At 51.2% G+C, this 20,517-nt stretch overlaps 1 protein-coding gene across 1 annotated transcript in view, besides 1 other annotated feature; it reads right to left on the reverse strand.

The window, feature by feature from the left end:
* SLIT1 (slit guidance ligand 1) overlaps window positions 974-20,517 on the reverse strand; it is a 187,922-nt gene continuing 168,378 nt past the window's right edge. Inside the window, exons 29-37 of the mRNA NM_003061.3 lie at window positions 16,955-17,094; window positions 16,677-16,770; window positions 13,929-14,066; window positions 9,419-9,656; window positions 7,629-7,759; window positions 7,004-7,158; window positions 5,640-5,928; window positions 5,094-5,305; window positions 974-4,286 (exon numbers count right to left, since the gene is read on the reverse strand). Of these exons, the coding sequence (NP_003052.2) occupies window positions 4,048-4,286; window positions 5,094-5,305; window positions 5,640-5,928; window positions 7,004-7,158; window positions 7,629-7,759; window positions 9,419-9,656; window positions 13,929-14,066; window positions 16,677-16,770; window positions 16,955-17,094 (1,636 nt within the window). The 3' untranslated portion in view covers window positions 974-4,047. The remainder of the gene's footprint in view (window positions 4,287-5,093; window positions 5,306-5,639; window positions 5,929-7,003; window positions 7,159-7,628; window positions 7,760-9,418; window positions 9,657-13,928; window positions 14,067-16,676; window positions 16,771-16,954; window positions 17,095-20,517) is intronic.
* Window positions 4,881-5,569: an enhancer, noted in NCBI's record as "H3K4me1 hESC enhancer chr10:98761702-98762390 (GRCh37/hg19 assembly coordinates)". NCBI's record gives its function as "activates a minimal SCP1, AML or CMV promoter by ChIP-STARR-seq in primed H9 embryonic stem cells {active_cell/tissue: H9 hESC(primed)}" and the evidence as "EXISTENCE:reporter gene assay evidence [ECO:0000049][PMID:30033119]".

Consider the following 20,517-nt stretch of genomic DNA (forward strand, 5'->3'; position numbering starts at 1 on the left):
AAAACGTGCCTTTCAGGTCACCACAGCCCCTGACTGTCAGTTCCCATTTGTCACTGTTTCTTCACGGCAGGGGAATGGGTCTGTGTACGTGCAGCCTTATCAGAAGTGACAGCCAGGTGACTGACAGGTAACCAACTGACCTTGTGAGACGGGAGCATCCAACCCCATTGGAACGCATTTTCTCTCCTGCACACTGTTCGTTACATTTCCTCCAAAATCCCTGACTTTTTTGAAGGCACTGAAGTTATATCAAGTGGCCACTTTCAAGATGACCCATGTGCTGTTAAGGTGTGGCTTGTGTGACCATTGCCCTGGCCCAATTTTCCACAGAAACCTGTCCATGGCGCTGGCTCATGGTCCCGGCTCAGGCTTCCCTTTAGTGTCAGTGACCCTGCCCAGCCTGCCTGCCCAGGCCTGGCCTTACCCAGACATCCATCCTGAGTGAGTGAGTCCTATAAAATCGTGCTTGCAGTGTTCTCATCTGAATGGTGATGGAGCCACTGCAGACGTATGTGTGTGTGCCTGCTTTCTCCACCAATTTCTAAGAGCCACTGTGCTGGGGACAGGAAAGTGAACCTCACAGGGCATCTGAGAAGTCACACTATATAGATTGCCCCGATGGCTCCGAAACCCTTAGAGCCAAATTAAAGATGGGTGTGGCTCTGTGCACAAACTTACAGAATGTCCATGTCACGGCAATTACTTGAAGGGAGATGAGGATGAGCAGCCTCCCCAGCTCGGCCGTGCACTGACAGACCCCGGGGGGGTGTCCCCCAGCCCTCTCCCAGGACCCCCTCCTTCAGGAGGAATGGACTTCAGGAAAAGCAGGGAGTTCCAGGGACAGACATCCTACGTGTGTAGCCCCTTGGAGCCATCCCTGGATGATGGCCCATATGCGATCAGCCCAGAAGCCCTAGGAGAGAATGCCAGCAGCACCCGGCCCGCCCTTGGTGGAGAAAAAGAGACCAACAAGGCAGAGTGACTCAATGTCATGTTCACATGGAAGACAACAGACAATATCGACATAGTCTAAAACAATACTTCCAGGGCAGGTGCAGCTCCCTCATGGGCCTGTTCTAAACCAGCCTCTAGGAGTTGATCCAAACAAGACGACTACAGAAACCCCCAACAAAACGTGCCACGACCACATAGCATCTGAAAGGCAAAACAAGACGCTGGATGTTGACTTTAACATATAAAAATACTGTAACAAAATGAAATACAAATATATATTAGAATCTGTAAGTATTCTGTATAAAGAGATACTTTTGCGGTTAGGCTACCAGCAGGCAAAGAGGAGACAAAGTCCAGCCTTTTCCACTTCCTGACACCTTCACCGGGAGCCCCGGCCCTGTTGCCAGTGGTGTTGCAAGGCCACAGCTCCCTCCGGACGCACCCTGCTGTATCTCTTCATGCCTAAAATGCAGAGCGAACTAGGGGTCTTCACAAAGGGGGACAAGATGTGGAGAGAGGACTTCTCAGAGGGGTGATTTTGCAGTAGCCACCTTCCGGACTTTCAAGCGGAGTGTGAATAGGCAACGTGAGTGCTGACTCAGGTCCTTAGCAACTCGCTGGCTGATGGCCAAGTTGGAGAAAAAGTTGATCCTGGGGCACACAGCTCTCACATCATCTCATGGTGGATTCCAATCCTCAGACTGCACTGAGGTCAGCGCTGCTGTGCTAGGAGGCTGGGCCATGTGGTGGGGCCGGTCAGGGGAGCCTTAAGCTCACATGGTGCTCCCTAGGAACAAACATGCCAGCCGCTCACCTCCCAGCCCCATGGCGCCAGGTGAGGGGTGAGCATCACCTGTCTACAGGTGTCCTTTCCACCTCCTGCAGAATGAAGAGGCCTCCTGCCAGCCAGTGCCCTTCAAGCCTGGGAATTGGCTTCTCCAGGGTGGTGGGGAATGGTGGTGGCCAGGAAAGCTATCTTTCTCAGGGTTGGTGAGTCCCAGAGCACCTTTCTTCCAGGGAAGAGGCAAGCTAGCTGCCCTTGAGCTTTTCTGCCCTATCCAGCCCGGTGCAGATGCTCTGCAGGGTCCCACGGTGGCCTGGAAACTCAGAGAGGGATGCCATGTGGGCCTGGGAGAAGCCCCATGAGGCCCAGGCTGCAGTCTACTTGGGGGTGGGGGCGGGCATTGTGGCCTTGCTCAGAGCTCCAAGCAAGTAGATCCCAGCCCCCTGGTGAGGGGCAGATCCTGCCATGAGGACACCTGCCACATTGGGCAGGGCACTGCCCTCTTCCCATCACAGGGACCCCAGGACTCACAGTTGCTAGATTGAGTCCCCATGGCATGAGACATGCCAGGCACCTCTACCCCAGTTCTAGCCTTCTAATCAGCATCAAGGGCTCCCCTCACTGCCCTGGGCAGGGGACAGGGACACAATGCCACTCTGAGCCTCACCTGAACATACACCCAGCCATGCCTCCTGGTCACAGATGGAGGGAGCCAGGGCAGGGACATGCTCACCCCCGTTGCCCACCAGAACCCCCGGGGGTGTGCCCTCTTGGTGAGCCCTCTGGGGAAGGAGAGTGCAACTTTGCCTCCCTTTAGCCCATTCACAGTTTGGCCTCACAAACCATCTTTCTACATTTTCACTGTGTATGGAAGAGAAGACAACGTGGGCAGGCAATCGTATATTCAGGGCCTCTTCTTCTTCCACCACTGGCTCCTTCGTTGCCAGCAACTCCCTGGCCTGGGCCGCTGTCTGTGGCTGGAGCCCCCACTCAGCTCAACTCTTCCCGGGCATCCTGGTCATTCCTGCGATGCTCTGGGATGAGTTCACATCTGTCCATTAGGCCAGAACGTCCACAATCCCCAGCCCCGGGTTAGGCACATAAATACTTTTGATGTGATCAATGTAGATAGATAGATAGATAGATAGGTCTTCTAACTCCTCTGGCCTCCCAAGACCACAGTGGGGGAGTCTGCACTGTTCCTTTAGTCATCCCGCCCCCCACCTCTGGCCATTTTATAGCTGAAGAACCCAAGGCCCAGGTGGGGAGAAGTTTGCCCCGAGTGATAGAGCCAGCAGGGACTTCCCAATGCCTGGAGCACTGTCCCTTCCACTGCTCCCTACTGGCCTGCGGTGTGAAGGACTCTGAACCAGCTGCTCCCAGGTCAAGCACCCTGGCCCAGACCCTCACACCCAGTCCCTCTACCAATAGGTCACCGACAGCTTGTGGCTGACTGGTGGCTGGGGAAGCCCAGGACCAATACTCCTACTGTGGCCAGTGTCTGGAGGCAGATGATGTTTGTTTATCTAGAGCAAAGAACCCTCTGCCCTCTTTAGTGGGGTCTGCCACCCTGAGCAGCCCCTGTGACTGTTTCCTCCACATAAGCCCTCGCAGCTACAGTAGTCATGCTAGAACTTTAGGATTCAGAGGCCTGGTCCTAAGAACCACCTCCACCCACAGCCTCGTTCCCAAGCCGTGGCTGCAGAGCTGCCAGTCAGCCCAGGGGGCAAGGGTCCGACCCTCCCTGGCCAGCAGGAGGCGGCACCCCCGCTCCAGAGCCTGGCCTACCACCAGCAGATTCTGTAGCAGCAGAATGAACCAGGCTGGCTTCCCGGGGAGGCTGACAGTACTTCATGGTTGCCCGCAGAGGGGTAAGAGGCTTCTGGGGCCACAGACCCAGTTCCAAGCCAGCCTGGGCCACAGGCCAAAGGGAAGGGTTGGTTTGGAAGGCTGTCATTTTTCTTCTCCAGATTCAGATAGCAGGTAAGGAGGGGTGTCATCGTTCTGCACTTCTTGGCCTGACCTCACGCACACATTCACTCAACAAATATTTATTAAGCGCCTATTTGTGCAAGGCACTTCCGGAGAGGGCAGCCCGCAGCTCAGGCCTCGCCCACCCCCGCTGCCCCCAGCTATGGCGCAATTTGCTTTTAAAAGGCTGCTCTGGCACCACCCCACCCAGGAGGGCCCAGCTGCCCAGGAGCCGTCCTGTGATGACCTGCACCCCAGCCCAGCTGCTGGCGACTGTCTCCGCTGCTGCAGCGGCTGGGGCCCCTTGCCCGCCCTCACCGGCCTGTCCACGCCCAGCGCTATGCGCAGAGGGCACAGCCACACTTGGTGGGCTTTTCCACCTCCTCGGCAAAAGAGGTCCCATCGCTGCACTCAAAGGTGAACTTCCTCCGCTTCAGCCGAAGGCCCTGGCAGCAGCCCTGGCCTGGGCACGAGCCCCGGCACTCCACCCATGACAGGGGGCGCGTGGTCTGGCAGATGGCATAGCCCCTCTGGACCTGGTGAAAGTCCCGGACAGGGTCCCCCCGGCACTCGGACTCTGGATGGGACAGACACCAAGAGAAAGCCTCAGGGCACACCCATGGGTGAGCTGCTGCCTCCAGGGAGGCAGGAGGAAGAGGAGGAGGAGGGCAGCATCTGTGGGGTGGATCCTTTGGCTCTCAGACCCCACCTCTGTCCCCAGCATACTTCCGCCTCCCACTGACATGCACAAGCTTCCTCCCAGGGCCTACAGTCTGGTCCTAGCGTCAGGGCCCTCCAGGACAGACTGAACTGCTGGAGGGAGGGGGGGTCCCCATTGCTAGAGGCGTGCAAGAGAGGCTGGAGGCCCCGGGGGCAATAACATTATGAAAAGGATTCATGCTGGGGAGGGGATAGCCTAGGGGACCCTTAAGGTGCCTGAGTTCTGGGTTTCTCCAGCTTCTCCCTGCCCAGCCTTAGCAGTCCGGATTCCAGCAGAAGCCATCTTGGTCAAGCAGGCCAGGGAGGGCCTGGGAAGGAGTCCCCAACCCTCGGACTTCCTGCTGCCGCTCCCAGGTCATGAGGTGATGGGGCCAAGAGGCAGAGGTTGGGCCAGGAGCTGTTACCCTGGGTGGTCTCTTCTGCAAGGAGAGACCCCAGCCAGAAGAGGCGCATACCCTGAATAAGGGAGCTGCAGGGCAAACTGGGCCAGGAGAGATTGGGAGCAGTGCCCAGAGGGTGGAGGGACTCTGAAAGCCCCATAGTAGCCCATGGTACAGGGCTGGGAAGGGACAGAAGGGCTGCCGAGACTGGGAGGAAGAGTCAAATTGCTAAAGCAATTTGTGGGGGACCCTGGGGAGGGCACGTCAGGAGGGGGGCCCCTGACCTTGCTCACACAGCTCGCCCGAAAAGCCGGGGTCACACACACAGTGTGCCCCCTTGGTGCCTGAGGCCTGGCAGTGGCCATGCAGGCACTGCAGGCCTCTGCAGGGCTCTGCCAGGGCCCCGGCCTGGTTGCACAGTGCCCCCGAGTACCCATCCTGGCACTGGCAGCTGTAGGAAAGAGCGTCGAGGGGCACGCATTGCCCATGGACACACCTGGAGGAGACAGAGAAAAGGCGCTGTGAGGACAAACCCAGCCAAGCCCCACCTGACACAGCCCGCCCCACCTGACACAGCCCACCCCACCCAGCCCTGACTTCACAGGTCTTTAATCTGTTCCCAAAACTGAAACAAAGGGAGTTGCATGCGACTATGTGTGTGTCCCTATAGGCCTTGTCCTATTAATAAAAAGTGAAAGCCAGATAAAAGTAATAAAACCCTGGCTTAGGCTACATGTTCTAATATGGGTTGGAAAACTGTGAGGCAGCCCTTCCCATGGGGAAGGAACAGGTAGGCAGGGGCAAGGGCTCCCCCAGTGCCCCAGGCTCACTTGTGGCCATGGCAGGGGCCGTCAGCGGGCTGGTCACAGTGCAGGCCCACCCAGCCAGCCTCGCAGTGGCACATGGGCCCTGGGGTGGCATTGGGCTGGCAGATGCCATGCAGGCAGTAGAGCTTGCGGCAGGGTTCGCAGCCTGGCACCACGCCTGGCTTCATCTGCGTCTTGGTGAAGTCCTGCAGCTCGTTGTTGATGTACAGGTTTCGGATGCAACCGTGGAAGCCGGTGCCGTTGAGGATCTGCCACAGGCGGAAGGCAGCTGAGTTGACATCCACGGGCATCCCTGGGGTAGGGGAGGGAGCAGAGCTGGGCTGAGTAAAGCTCGGGCTATGCCGGGCACCCACCCCTGAGGTCTGGGCAGCTCCATGGCCTTCCCTCTTGCCTGCGGCCTCTGTCCTTCATCTCTGCAACCCTGATCCAAGGTCCTTTGCCACCTTGGAGGGCCCAGGCTCCTTGCCCAGAAGAAAGGGAAAAGCTGCTTCCTCTGTGATTGGAGCTGGGGCATCAGGCCTGGTGGTGGCCAGCTGCTGCGTGTGGCTCTGAGGTGCCTGTTCCTAAAGTCTGGCTTCCCTCGCCAAGGCGCCTTCTCTCCCTGGGACGCTAGCTTTTACCTCCCAGAGACCCCAGCCGTAGCAAAGGGGCAGGACCGAGACATCACGTGTGGCGCTAGGTCACTGCTTTTGTGGCTGTCCCTTCTCAGCAGCCCTCTGAAGTAGGGCTTGCTAAGCCCCATTTGACAGATGCTCATGACTGGCCTGAAGCTGCACAAGGAGTAAGCTGCGGAGCTGGGCTGAGGCCCAGGGCCATCCCTCACCTCTGCCCCAGCCTCAGCACGCCTCCCACAGGGTGGAGATGGCCCCACTGCATCCAGCAGCCTGCTCATCAATACCGAGAAATGCTTGCAGGTGGTAGACGGGGTCATCTAGCCTGCAAAGCCTCTAAGGCCAGCCGAGGCAGTCCCTGGTTGATACAGGGACTCTGTGCCTGAGTCTCTTGCAGTGGTTCTGGGTCTCAGAGGGCCCCAAGACTGGGAATGGACCTGAAGCCATTGAAAAGCCCCTTCTAGCCCAAAACCAAGAGGAAATGTGCCCAAGGTGTTGCAGATAGCTCGGACAGTCCCAGGGCCTCCCCTAAGCCAGACCTTGCACCCAACCCAAGCATCCATCCTCCTTGGTCAGTCTGGGCTAGGCAGAGAGCAGCTGGGCTCCAGGCAGCGAGGCCAGTCCACCTGCAGCTTGGCCACCACCAGGATCATCTTCCCACTTGGCATTTCCCACAGTGCAGTCCCTAGGCACCAGCTCTCCTGGCTGGCCTCAGGCCAGACAGCAAAAGAGGCCCCGCCAGGGCCAGGTCCTCACCTCCCACATAGAGTGGCGCCTCGCTGTTGAGCGTGTAATGTTTGCCAAAGTTGTCCATGGTCATGGGGCTCCCGCCATCAATGGAGAGATTCACCATCTGGTCAAAGGCAACCAGCTCAACGGTGTGGAATTGCCCATCGTTGATCGTCTCAGCACTGGAGGAAGAGGGGGTTCCCCGTTCCAGGGAGTGGGCATCAGTCTGGACCATCCCTGCCTGGGCACTTCCCCAGAAACACCAGTAGCTGCTTCCCAGGAGACCAAATATCTAAGGAAAAGGACTGTGGGGGCTCAAGGGTCTATCGCATGATCCCTTTCACTCCCCTTCTTTGACTCCCTGGGGAAGGCTGAGAGGTTTGAGGCAGGGGTCTCAAACTTACAAGTCTCCCCCTCCCCATTAAGGAGCCTCCTCTAAGGTGGTGGTGGGATGGGGAAGGATGGGGCCACTGCACAGGCCTCAGAGACCTCAGCCCCAAGCTGGGGCTAACCCAGATGGTTCAAGTGTCCTTCAAACTCAGGCAGCCCAGGTTTCTAGAGGTCTCGATAACCACCTGCTTTTGGCCCAGGAGACCTCGCCCTGGCAGTCCCGTACCCCTGAGGGCAGCTGGGGGGCATAAGGAAGCCCTACCTGTAGATGGCAGAGCTGGGGTAGCTGCCTGGGTCGTAGCTGACACGCACATGGCCCTGGTACAGCTCAACTGCAATGTGGTCGTTGTCCCCGTTGTACAGAAGGATCCCATTGTCCTCTGCCGTGGAGACCTGATGGGCAGTGGCACTTTCTCTCCCACCCCACCCCATGCAGCAGCGGCACAGGCTAGCAGATGGGGCAGAGAGGGCACCCAAGATTGGAAGAGAGATGCTCTGTGCAGAGCGCTCTTCCCCCACCTGGCCAGCCTCCCCAAGGCCATTCCTCCAGGGGGCACCAATAGGGGCTGCAGCCTCTGGTTCAAGCCCCATCCACTGCCAGCCTGGCCAGGTCCAGGCAGGGGAGGGTGATGGGTCCCTGAGGCCTGGAAACTCTGTGCCAGGAAGAGCAGCCAGGAGACCTCAGGACAATCTTCCCAGAGAGGAAAATTAGACTGGGACCCCTGTCTGCTGGGTGTGGGTAGCCTTGCCCTGTGGGCCTTGGGGAGCTAACTGCTCAGGGTGGGAACTACAGAGAGGACAAGTTCAGGAAGGCTCTCTGACAGCCAGAGTCATCCAAGCCTAGTGGAAGGAGCCACTCAGAAGGTAGTGTCTGTCGCTGGAACTGTGCAAGCAAAAGTGAGATCTTTGCCTCAGGAGGGAGATCCCTCTAAGATGCTGTAGGAGCCATGATCATTTTTCCCTGCCTTGTCCTGCTCCCTCCGTTTCTTCTGGTAAAGACCCTGAGCCCCCTGGTCTGTGGAGCTGGGCATATGACCCAAGCTGTCCAGTCACACTGCCCCATCTCCTTGGACTCAGCAGCTGGTTCAGAGATGGGCATGTGACTAACGCCAGGCCAATCAGAGATCTTCCTTGAGCTGACCGAATTAGAGCTGGCAAGGAAGAGCCTTTGTAAATCAATGTCTGGTAAAAGATGAGGATAAACCAAGGATGTGCCCGAGGCAATGGCTGGTTAGGGTTTTGGTGAATTTTATTTTTGGCGGTTAGGCTAGCTGTTGTCTTGCCATGTAGACTATGTAAGTGGATAGGATGTTGGAGAGGTGACGTAGGGGAAGAGAGCAGAATGCGCATGTTTGAGAGGCTGAAGAGTTCTGAGAAAAAAGGAAAAGAGGACAAAAGAGAGGGAAGAAAGATGTGGCATTTGTGACAGGGAATGGAATTCGGGGGAAAGAGAAAGATGACTACAGAGGAGTTTAACATTCTTTATCATGTGCTGTGCAATATAAACCACTCTCCTCTCCATCCCCCAAAAGAAGTGTTTAGCAAAATATTGATATATTTCATCAATGCTGCTGAAGTGGGAATTGCTTTATTTTCCCCTCAACATGAAGATGTTCTGAGATGGAACTGAAGGCATGAAAAGGATGAGTTAAGGGACCCTAGGGACATTTGGTTAAAGGTATAAGCCCAAAGTTAAATCTGGCCACATTCCAGGCACACATAGAAAGCCTGTCTGCAGCACTGGAGGCAGACACTGAGGAGTAGCTGGGACAAGAAATGGTGGGAAGGGATGATGGCAAGCCTGGTTTTCTGGATTCAGTTACCCATGAGACCATGTCCACCCCTGCCCTGGTTTTGTGACACTATAACCTTTCTAATTGTGCTTAAACTAGTTCAAGCTGAGATTTTGATACCCATATGCAAAACGTTTTGATTACACAGAGTCCTTCCAGTTCCCCAGGCACCATGCAGGGATGTATCCTGATGCTCTGGCCTAAGCCAGGGTCGCCTGCTCCCTGACTCCCCTCTGTGACCAAGCCCCCTGGCACGCACCTGCAACGTGATGTTGGCCCGTGGCCAGTTTTGCAGGTCAGTGAACTGCAGGTAAGTGTCCCGATCCACAAAGTTGACACTGAGCAACTTCTCACACTCAGGGCCACCGAAGCCTGGGAGGCACTGGCACACAGGCCTGTTGCCCTGGTCCACACAGTTGGCCCCATTCTGGCACTCAGTCCCCTCACAGGGGCTCTTGGGGGCAGGCAGATGGGGAGGGATCTCACAGAGCTGTCCACTGAGAGGAAAGGACATAAGTCAGAGAGGGCCAAGGAGGAAGGGAGTATCTTCCTCTCCCACAGCCCTGGAGAGAAATTCACTAAACATCTTGGGAAAATGGATTCTTAAAGCGACAGAAGATGCTCCTAATAAACACTTTTCATGAGAGAGCTGAGAGCCAGAAGGATACCAGGATACAAGTATGGTCCCTGGTCCAGCAGCGTCAACATTACCTGGACACTTGATAGAAATGGCAAACCCACTGAATCTGCTTTTTAACAAGATCCAAGGTGATTACTGACAATGTCAATAACTCTGCAAGGCAGATTTTACTATACCCATTTTATAGAAAAGAAAACTGAGACTTAAGACACAAGCATAAAGAGGGAAGAGTCAAGTTACTAAAATAAGAAATAAAAGAAGGGACATTACTACCAACCTCATAGAAATACAGTGAATTATAAAGGAATACTATGAACAACAATATACCAACAAACTAGAAAACAGATGAAATGCACAAATTCCTAGAAATATGCAAACTACCAAAACTGAACCAAGAAAAAAATAGAAAATATGAATAGACCTATAACTAGTAAAGGAATTAGTAATCAGAAAACTTCCCAGGCCCAGATGGTTTAACTGGTGAATTCTACCAAACATTTAAAAACAATAAATACCAATTCTTCACAAACTTGTCCAAAAAATAAAAAATGAGGGAACACTTTCTAACTCATTCTATGAGACCAGCATTACCCCAATACCAAAACCAAAGACATCACAACAAAAGATATCACAAAAAACTACAGACCAATATCTATTATAAATATTGTCACCAAAATCCTCAACAAATTACTAGCTAATCAAGTACAGCATAAAAAGGATTATATACAATGACCAAGTGAGATTTACGCCAGGAATGCAAGGCTGGTTTGACCTCTGAAATTCAATTAATGGAATACATGATATTGATAGATGAAAAAGCAAAAAAAAAAAGTTCATCTCAATAGATGCAGAAAAAGCATTTGACAAACTTCAACATTCCTTCATGACAGAAACACTCCACAAACTAGGAATAGAAGTGAACTACATCAACCTGATAAAGGGCACCTACAAAAAACACACAACTGACATCATACTTAATAATGAGAGACTGAATTTTTTCCTCCTAAGATTAGGAACAACACAAGGATATTTGCTCTCACAATTTCTATTCAATATTTTACTGGAAGTTCTAGCCATGGCAGTTAGGAAAAAGGGAAAGGAAAGAAAAGGAATGAAGGAAGGAGGGAGGGAGGGAGGGAGAGGGGGAAGGCAGGAAGGCAAGAAGGAAAGCAGGCAGGCAGGCAGGAAGGAAGGCAAGCAAGGGAAGGAGGAAAGGAAAGATAAATAAAATGCATCCAGAAGACATGATCTTATATAAGAAAATCCTACAGATTCCAGTAAAATGCTATTAGAATTAATGAAATAATTCAGCAAGATTGTAGAATACCAGATTAATGCACAAAAATCAAACAAAAAATGAAATTAAGAAAACAATTCCTTTACAATAGCATCAAACAGAATAAAATACGTAAGAATAAATTTTTTAAGTGCAAAACTTATACTTTGAAAACTACAAAATGTTGAAAGAAATTAAAGAAGATCTAAATAAATGGAAAGGCATTCATGTTCATGGATCAGTATGCTTAATATTGTTAAAATGGCAATACTGGGCCAGGCATGGTGGCTCACACCTGTAATCCCAGCACTTTGGGAGGCCGAGGTGGGTGGATCACCTGAGGTCAGGAGTTCAAGACCAGCCTGGCTAACATGGTGAAAACCAGTTTCTACTAAAAATACAAAAAATTAGCCAGGCGTGGTGGCACATGCCTATAATCCCAGCTACTCTGGAGGCTGAGGCAGGAGAATTGCTTGAACCCGGGAGGTGGAGGTTGCAGTGAGCCAAGATTGTGACATTGCACTCCAGCTTGGGAAACAAGAGCAAAACTCTGTCTCAAAAAAAAAAAAAAAAGGGAATACTACCTAAATTGATCTACAGATTCAACAGAATCTTTATCAAAATCCCAGTTGACTTCTTTGCAGAACTCAACATGCTGATCCTAAAATTCATACAGAAATTCAAGGGGCCCAGAACAGCCAAAACAATCTTTTTTTATTTTTTATTATTTATTTATTTATTTATTATTATTATTTTTTGAGATGGCGTCTCACTCTGTCACCCAGGCTGGAGTGCAGTGGCACGATCTCGGCTCACTGCAAGCTCTGCCTCCCGGGTTCATGCCATTCTCCTGCCTCAGCCTCCCCAGCAGCTGGGACTACAGGTGACTGCTGCCATGCCTGGTTAATTTTTGTATTTTAATAGAGGTGGGGTTTCACTGTGTTAGCCAGGATGGTCTCGATCTCCTGACCTTGTGATCCGCCTGCCTCGGCCTCCCAAAGTGCTGGGATTACAGGTGTGAGCCACCGCGCCCAGCCAGCCAAAACAATCTTTAAAAAGAAAAACAAACTGGGAGGACTCACACTTCCCAATTTCAAAATATATTACAAAAACTACAGTAACCAAGAAAGTGTGGCACTAGCATCCAGATAGTCATACAGATTAATGGAATAGAACTTGAAGTCCAGAAATATCCTTACATTTAAAGTTAGCTGATTTTGACAAGAGTGCCATGACCATTCAATTGGAAAGAATTATCTTTTTGACAAATAGTGCTAGTACAACTGTATATCTGCATGCAAAAGAATGAAGTTGGGCCCTCTACCCATATATAAAAATTAACTCAAAATGGATCAATGACCTAAATATAAGAGCTAAAACTATAAAAGTCTTAGAAGACAACATAGGTATAAATCTTCATAACCTTGGATTAGGCAATGGTTTCTTAGGATACCCACAGCACAAGCAACAAAATAAAAAATAAACTAGATATGCCCAAATTATTAAACTAGATATACCCAAATTAAACATTTTTGTGCATTATCAAGAAAAGATAACCAACAAAATGGGAGAAAATACTTGCCAACATATATCTGATAAGGGACTTGTCTAGAATATATAAAAAGCCTTTACAACTCAACAACAAAAAGACAAATACCTTAATTTGAAAATGAGCAAAGAACTTGAATAAAAATTTTTTCCAAAGAAGATATTTTTAAATGGCTAATAAGCACATGAAAAGATGCTCAACATTATTGGCCACTGAGGAAATGCAAATCAAAACCACAGTGAGCTACCACTTCACACCCTCATACAATAGTGGTGGGAATTGTGCAGCCATTAGGAAAAAACAGTTTGGTAGTTCCTCAAACAGTTAAACATACAGTTAACATACGACTCAGAAAATCCACTCCTACGCATATACCCAAGAGACTGAAAAATGTATGTCTACACAAAAACCTGTACAAAAATGTCGATAAGATCAGTCTTCATTATAGCCAAAAAGTGGCAACAACCTAAATGCCTATCAACTGATGAGTGGGTAAACAAAATGTGGTATGTCCATACGGCAGAACACTGTTTAGCCATAAGAAGGAATGAAGTGCCGACACATGTTACCACACGGATGAACCTCAAAACATGATGCTGAGTGAAAGCAGCCAGTCACAAAGGACAACAGACTGTACGATTCGACTTATAGGAAATCCCCAGAACAGGCAAATTTATAGACACAAATATTAGGAGATTAGTAGTTGCCTGGAGCTGGGATAGAAGAGGGGCTGGTGTGACAGATAAAGGGTATGGGGTTTTTTAAGGGGAAATCAACATGTTCAAAATTGGTTGTGGTGATGGATACACAACTCTGGGAATAAACTAAAAGTCATGGAATTTTACATGTAACTGTGTAAACTGTATGGTACATGAATTATATCTCAATAAAGCTATTTTTTAACAAATGAGTGAGCAGAGCATGGGACGTGGGTGGCCAGAGGGAGGGTGGGCCCTCCAACCTCCCAGGGGAGCCCAGTGGGCTGGTAGATAATCTTTGGGGCAAGACATGTCTTCAGAGGCTCAGGTAGGCAGGTAAGTGACAGCACACTGCCCTGTCATCTGCACCCACCTCTCATGCCCTCCACCAAACAGGTTAGGGGTCCTCTGCCTAGGCCCTGGGCAGTTACATGACTTTCCCAAGGCTGCACAGCTGGTGACTGGCAGAGCCACGGTTAAAACCCCAGCATCCAACTTCCAGGCTCTGACCCACACCCCTTTCCTTCGCCATGGCTGGAGGCTCCTGCCAGCCCAGGGGCTGACAGCCACAAGGAGTCACTCCTAGTGTGTCCAGGGGCTGCTCACCTGTAGCCCTCAGCACAGAGGCAGGAGTAGCTGTTGACTTCATCCATACACTGGGCCCCATTCTGGCAGCGGTGGTCCCTGCAGTCATCCTGGTTCTCACTGCAGTTGTCACCTGCATAACCTGGCATGCACTCACACCTAGTGGGTGGGGGGCAGGGGTAGTTGGGGGGTCAGCCACACAGAGTCTGGGAGGCCAGGGGAGCGCACCAGGGATCCCCCACACAGTCTGTACATGTGAGGGAGAACCTCAAGTTCCATTGAGGCTGTGGGGATCTCCAGGAGGTCACACAGAGCTCTGGATCTAAAAGGGCCCCTAGCCCATCCTGGGACCCTTTCCTAGTAGAAGAGAGCTCATGTGGACTTGAGGTAGGGGCCTGGGGCTGGAAGAGTGGACCCCAGTAGCAGGGGCAGATGGAGTCTTGTCATGGAGGACCCACCTTCACCAGCAACAGCACATCCAAGGCCAACTGTCAGCCCCTTCCCCACCTCCCCAGCAGCTCAGCTGCACCCTCCCTGTTCTCCCAGGACCCACTACCATGTGACTGAGTTCCACAGGCTCCCCCACTCCTCTTTCTCCAGCCTCCCAGTCCTCAGCAGGGCTAGTGCCCCCTGCTCAGTGGGTGCCTTGACCTCAGGTAAGCCCCCAGCTTCCCAGCTGCCACCATGCCTCACTGCTGGCCCAAAACACTCCCTTTGGGCTCCTGTCTGCCTATCAAATAAATAAAGGATGCACTCCTGTAGCCCTTTCTAGTAATGGCCTTGCTGTCTGTCCTACAGACCTCCTGCTCCCCTGACACCAAGCCCACCTCACCAAGCACTTCCCTGCCTTCACACCTGTGGATTCCAGAATACCGTCTCCTGTCTGCCTGCATGGTCCAGCCAGCCCAATACCTCACCTCCTCCAGGAAGCCTCTGGAGAGCACTCCAGCCCTCACTGAGCAGTCCCCTTGTCTGATCGCCTTCTAAACTCCTAACTCTGAAGCTCAACCATGCAACCTGGCAGATGGGTGCTCTTGCCTGGGATTTTTACTCATTTCCTTGTCCAGTGTTTTTCGGGCTATAAGAAATACTTTCAAGCCCAGTACACACACACACACACACACACACACACACACACACACACACACACACACACACGCACACATTCGAAACCAGATTCATACAACAATACTGATTATCCTTATTATATAAGATGGCATGTTGCTGTCTGATACTTTGTTTCATCTTTTAATGTTAATCTTGACATTAATATTAAACAGGGGCTGGGGCTCCCTTTATATCCAATTGATCACAGTCTACTAATGAGTCTGGAGTTACAGTCTGAAAAATGTTACAGTAGCTAAGCCACCACTTATTCATCCATTTAATGACTATATACTGGATATATATCTTGGGTTCCAGGTAATGCCAGGCACAGCTGAACATGTCAGTTCCATCTTTCCACCAGGACAGGCAGTTGAGAGAACACGCACTCAACGCTCCACTGTGTGCCACAACCCCGGGTCCGGAGCTAAGCACAATGCTTGCCCTTCGTGATTGAGGGGCTGTGCTAGCAGCTCCAGGCTGGACAACGTGCAGTCCTGCCTTATTCCACCCTCCAAGGAGGGCGCATGCTGCCCAATCTGCCACTGCTGATTGGTCTGCCTGCCAAGCCCCACCCCTGGGAGCCCCCACAGGAGTACAGCGTCCGTCTACCATTTGGATGGAGGCTCTTGTGGGCCCATTTACCGTGGAACCAGGCCTCAACAATCCTGGGCTCTTGCTTCCTGTCATGGGCCTCAGGCTGCTCCAGCTAGACAGGGGGCTCCTGGGGGACTCCATCTGAGTCCCTAGGCTTGGGTCCCTCAGCCACAAGCCCCAGGAAGCTCTGCCCTGACCACCCCTTGCTGGCCTGACTGGTGGAATGGGGAGGTCCCAGAAATGAGACTACGTTTGCACAACTGCAGTTGGAAGCATTATTTTAAAACTGCGTAACCTTCATAAAGCAGTCTTCAAGTAACAAACATTTTCACATATGCCAATAACAACCATGATGAAAATACAGACCAACAACTTTTACCCAAACCTCCTGGGACCAGATAGGTTTTGGAATTCAACACTTTTTAGATTTTCGTAAGGTCAGACAATGCATATTATACAACCTGCTGGTAGGAGCTGAGGCAGCCCCGTAATCAGACTTATTCACATTTCTGCCACAAAATCTATACATATTCACATTACGTGGGATGAATAACAACAAAAAGCAATCTCACACCAGTGCGGGGCAGCTTTTATTACCAAATACGTCCACCTCAGATCAGATCTGGCCATGAGATGGGATGCTTTCCCGAGTTTTGTGGATTTTGTAACTGGGGATAAGAAATGGTAGATCTGGAATAATAGCCTGGAGCACTTAACAGATGCCAGACCGGGAGCTAAGTGCTTTCCATGCATTTTCTCATCTTACCCTTGCAATCACCCCAGGAGGAAGCTACTGTTGTGCCCAGTTTACAGATGAGAAAACAAGCTCAGAGCAGGCAAGTGACACATTCAGGGTCATGCTGCAAACCCAGGTCTCTGTGGCCACAAAGCTGTGCACATCACCCCTCCACCCACAACCCCGCATGGATTCTCAGGAACCCTGTAGAGCTGAGACCAAACCCATTGGACAAATGAGGGAATGAGGGTGGGGCACGGAGCCCAGACTGGAATCCAGTCTGACTCAGGGGCCTGAGCTCCTCCCTGGCCCTGGAAAGGGGCAACACTCACCTGGGCCCATCCGGGGTGCCCACACACTGGGCCTCGTGTTGACATGGGTTCAGATCCGGAGAGCACAAGTCCACCAGCTGCTCACAGGCCTTTCCTGGGGAAAGAACGAGCAAGGGGCAGGAGAGAAGCTGCTCTCCTGTGCTCTGCCGGGCAGCCAGACCCACAGAAATCCTCCTGCAGACACTGAGGCAGGGATCCCCTTCCACTCCCGAGCATGGGGGCTCAGGGCTGTCTCTGTTCCCCACCTCCCCCAGACACTGCTGCCCTGACGCACTTACCCTCATACTGCAGGGGGCACTGGCAGGTGTAGTTGCCCACACCATCCACACAGACGCCCCCATTGGCACAGGCATGATCCACACAGTCATCTGTGTTCACCCCACAGGTTGGTCCTTCAAAGCCGGTGGGACAGGAGCACCTGTGCGGGGAAGGGGAGGATGGAGAGACAGCCCTCTTGGAACACTGGTGGAAGCCTGTGGCTGCCGGTTAATATCACCATTCCACGGAGTTAGGGTCCCTAATCCCGGCCAGGCCCTTGCCAGGTGCTGGGTAGGGTTAGAGGTGACCAAGACTGACCATGCCCTCATGGGATTCACTCACAGTCTAGTGGGGAGGCTAAAAGGAGATGGATGGCGAGGGGAGAGGTAGTGAGGACCAGGATGGTGTAAGCACTGAAGCCAGGGAGCGGGCACAGAGGGGCAGGAGACACCTGGCTCCTCCTTGGCACAAAGTGATAAGGGCAGGCTTCCTGGAGGAGGTGATGAATTAACCAAGGACCTTGACAAGGGAGAGCGGGAATGGGAGGAAGGTGACTGGGGCAGAGGTGTGTGTAAAAGCCTGGAGTGGCCAGGTGCGGTGGCTCATGCCTGTAATCCCAGCACTTTGGGAGGCCAAGGCAGGTGGATCACCTGAGGTCAGGAGTTGGAGACCAGCCTGGCCAACATGGGGAAACGCTGTCTCTATTAAAATACAAAAATTAGCTGGGCATGGTGGCATGTGCCTGTAATCCCAACTACTCGGGAGGCTGAGGCAGGAGAATCGCTTGAACCTGTGAGGTGGAGGTTATAGTTAGCCAAGATCATGCCACTGCACTCCAGCCTGGGTGACACAGCAAGACTCTGTCTCAAAAAAAAAAAAAAAGCCTAGAGTGGAAGGGAACCCCACAGCTAGTCTTCTATAGGGGCCCTGCCCATCCACACAGTCCAATACTTCAGGAGCACAGTGAGCAAAGGGCTGCGGTGAGCAGGAGCCTGGTCATGAGGGGCCCTGGGGATCAGTGACTTTCAAACCAAGATACACCTTCCCCTGGGGCACCCAAGGTTTTCCAAGGGGTGTGTGGATCAGAGAGAGGTCCAAGAAATTAATTTCCAGATCTTCAAATATCTGCACGAGCTCTTCCCTAAATTGACCCAGCTCAGAACTCTAAAAAGGTGGCATCTGTCCCAGCCCCAGCCCTTACAGACTGGGGGGTGATGGGACAAGCCCTCCAGGTAGAAAGGTGGGCATGCTTCCAGGTGCCAAATAAATGGGCAGTTAGGAATCCTGATGTTTAGAAAGTGAATGAATAAATGCAATCTAAGTCAAGAGGTTTCCAGTTCTGTGCACTGGAAGTAATTGAAGGAAGGCCTCATAGAACTGTCAGCTGATAGAACATTAAAAATAATCTTGATGACAGGTCACTGTGGAGATTTGGCATAAAAACTGGGAGGGCTTTCAAAGAATTAAGTGACATGGCTATAATAAAACTCCTAATCTCACCAGTTTATTTACATGAACAAACTTCCCAGCATTTATATCTATAAAAACAAAACAGGAAAAGATCAAACGCTGTGTCCTCTCTCATTCTGCAACATTCACCCATAAACCAACTGAGAGAAGAAAAGAACAAAAAAGCACCCATCCATCTCATTAAGAGAGATACAGTCCAATAAAATTTTCCTTCTATGTGTAATAATTTTCAATCCAATTCTATAATACAGTTATGTTGTTTCGAATTATTGTAGGGATAACTCGCTGCAAAAGAAACTTTAAATCAGAGGCTTATGGTGATGAGAAATAAGAAAAAAACTTTAAGTTTTAACTTACGTGTACCCATGTTGGGGACAGAGACGCATGGCAGAGTACTCAAGAAAAGAGTCTAGCATAAAAATATATTTGGTTAGAAAAAAAAGACAGGAGGGTAAGGAGTAAAATGGAAATACTAGTTAGAGGAGAAAAAAGAACAAGGTAAAATGTTTAACTGTTAAAGAAGAACTTGTTCGTGTCATTTTAAAATGGTATCCAATTGGCCACGTGGGGTGGCACATGCCTGTAATCCCAGCACTTTGGGAGGCCAAGGTGGGTGGATCCCTTGAGGTCAGGAGTTTGAGACCAGCCTGGCCAACATGGTGAAACCCCGTCTCTACTAAAAATACAAAAATTAGCCGGGTGTGGTGGTGCATGCCTGTAGTCCCAGCTACTCGGGAGGCTGAGGCAGGAGAATTGCTTGAACCCAGGAGGCAGAGGTTGCAGTGAGTCGAGATCTCGCCACTGCACTCCAGCCTGGGTGACAGAGCGAGACTCTGTCTCAAAAAAAAAAAAGTGTCAAAATGATGTGCTGTTTAGATTGCATTGGAGAATGATAAAAGAGTGATTTAATGTCATATTTTTAAAGCTTAATTTATTTTTTTATTTTAGAGACAGTTTCACTGTGTTGCCCAGACTGGAGTGCAGTGGTATGATCACAGCTTACTGCAGCCTCAACTTCCTGAGCTCAAGTGATCCTCCCTCCTCAGCCTCCTGAGAAGCTGGGACTATAGGCATTCACCATTACACCTGGTTAATTTTTAATTGTCTGTAGAGATGGGTTTTGCCATGGGGATTTTGCCATGTTGCCCAGGCTAGTCTCCAACTACTTGTCTTAAGGCCCTTCCACCTTAGCCTCCCAAATAAAGTGATAGTTTTATTCTTAAATGTTAATAATATTTATAATATCTGGAAAAATTACCTCCTTTGCAATGAAAAACTTAAAATGAAAATTTTAGCTGTCAATCTAAGGATGTGTGAGGGAGTGTATAGTTTTTAGAATGTATCTGGGGAGTCTGTGAGTAAAAAGAATTCAAATCACCATTGCAGGAAATGGTCTGTGGTTAACTGTTTTCCCTGAAGGCTGGAGGGGACCAGCAGCAGGGTTTTAAGCTGGGGTGACAGGGTCAGTTTCACATTTCAGAAAGTGGCCTGTGGTACGAGCTGGGGCAGGGTAGCGGGAGTAGACACAGGTCAGGGGATAACAGGTGCCCCAGAGAGCCTTGGGGTTGAGGGGTAACTCGTGGAGGCACCCCCTTTCCACCTGGAGAGCCCACTCCCGCAGCCCGCATTCTGTAAGGCAGTGAGGTGAGGGGGCTGCCCCATCTCCCCATCTCAGGGTGAAGGGGGTGTCCTTTCAGCCCCCAGCTGGGGCGTCTCAGGAATGAGGAGGGCGCGCCCAGGGAGTTGCTCACCGAAGCCCCGAGGAGGCTGGGTGCAGAGTGTAAGGACGCCGTTTCCAAGGCAACCAGGGGAAGAGAGGCCATTTAGTGATTCATTTTTACATCTGGTAATTTGGGTATGCAGAGGCAGGCTCAGCCATTTCTGCCCCCAGATTCAACATCATTTTCGGAAGAGCCAATGTATTGCGCCAGCAATTTATTTTCAGCAACTAAATACTATGTATTCCTCAGAAAAGCTCTGGGAGGGTGGGGCTCATTGGGCGGTCCTGTGGGGAGCAGCCAGTGGGAGGGCGCTTGCGTTGTGATGTCAGCTCTGGAAGGACTTAAGAGATGGGGTCATTAGGGCTGGCCCCTTCACTGAATAGCAGAAAATG

Source organism: Homo sapiens, chromosome 10 (assembly GCF_000001405.40).
Source record: "Homo sapiens chromosome 10, GRCh38.p14 Primary Assembly".
NCBI classification, from domain to species: Eukaryota; Metazoa; Chordata; class Mammalia; order Primates; family Hominidae; genus Homo; species Homo sapiens.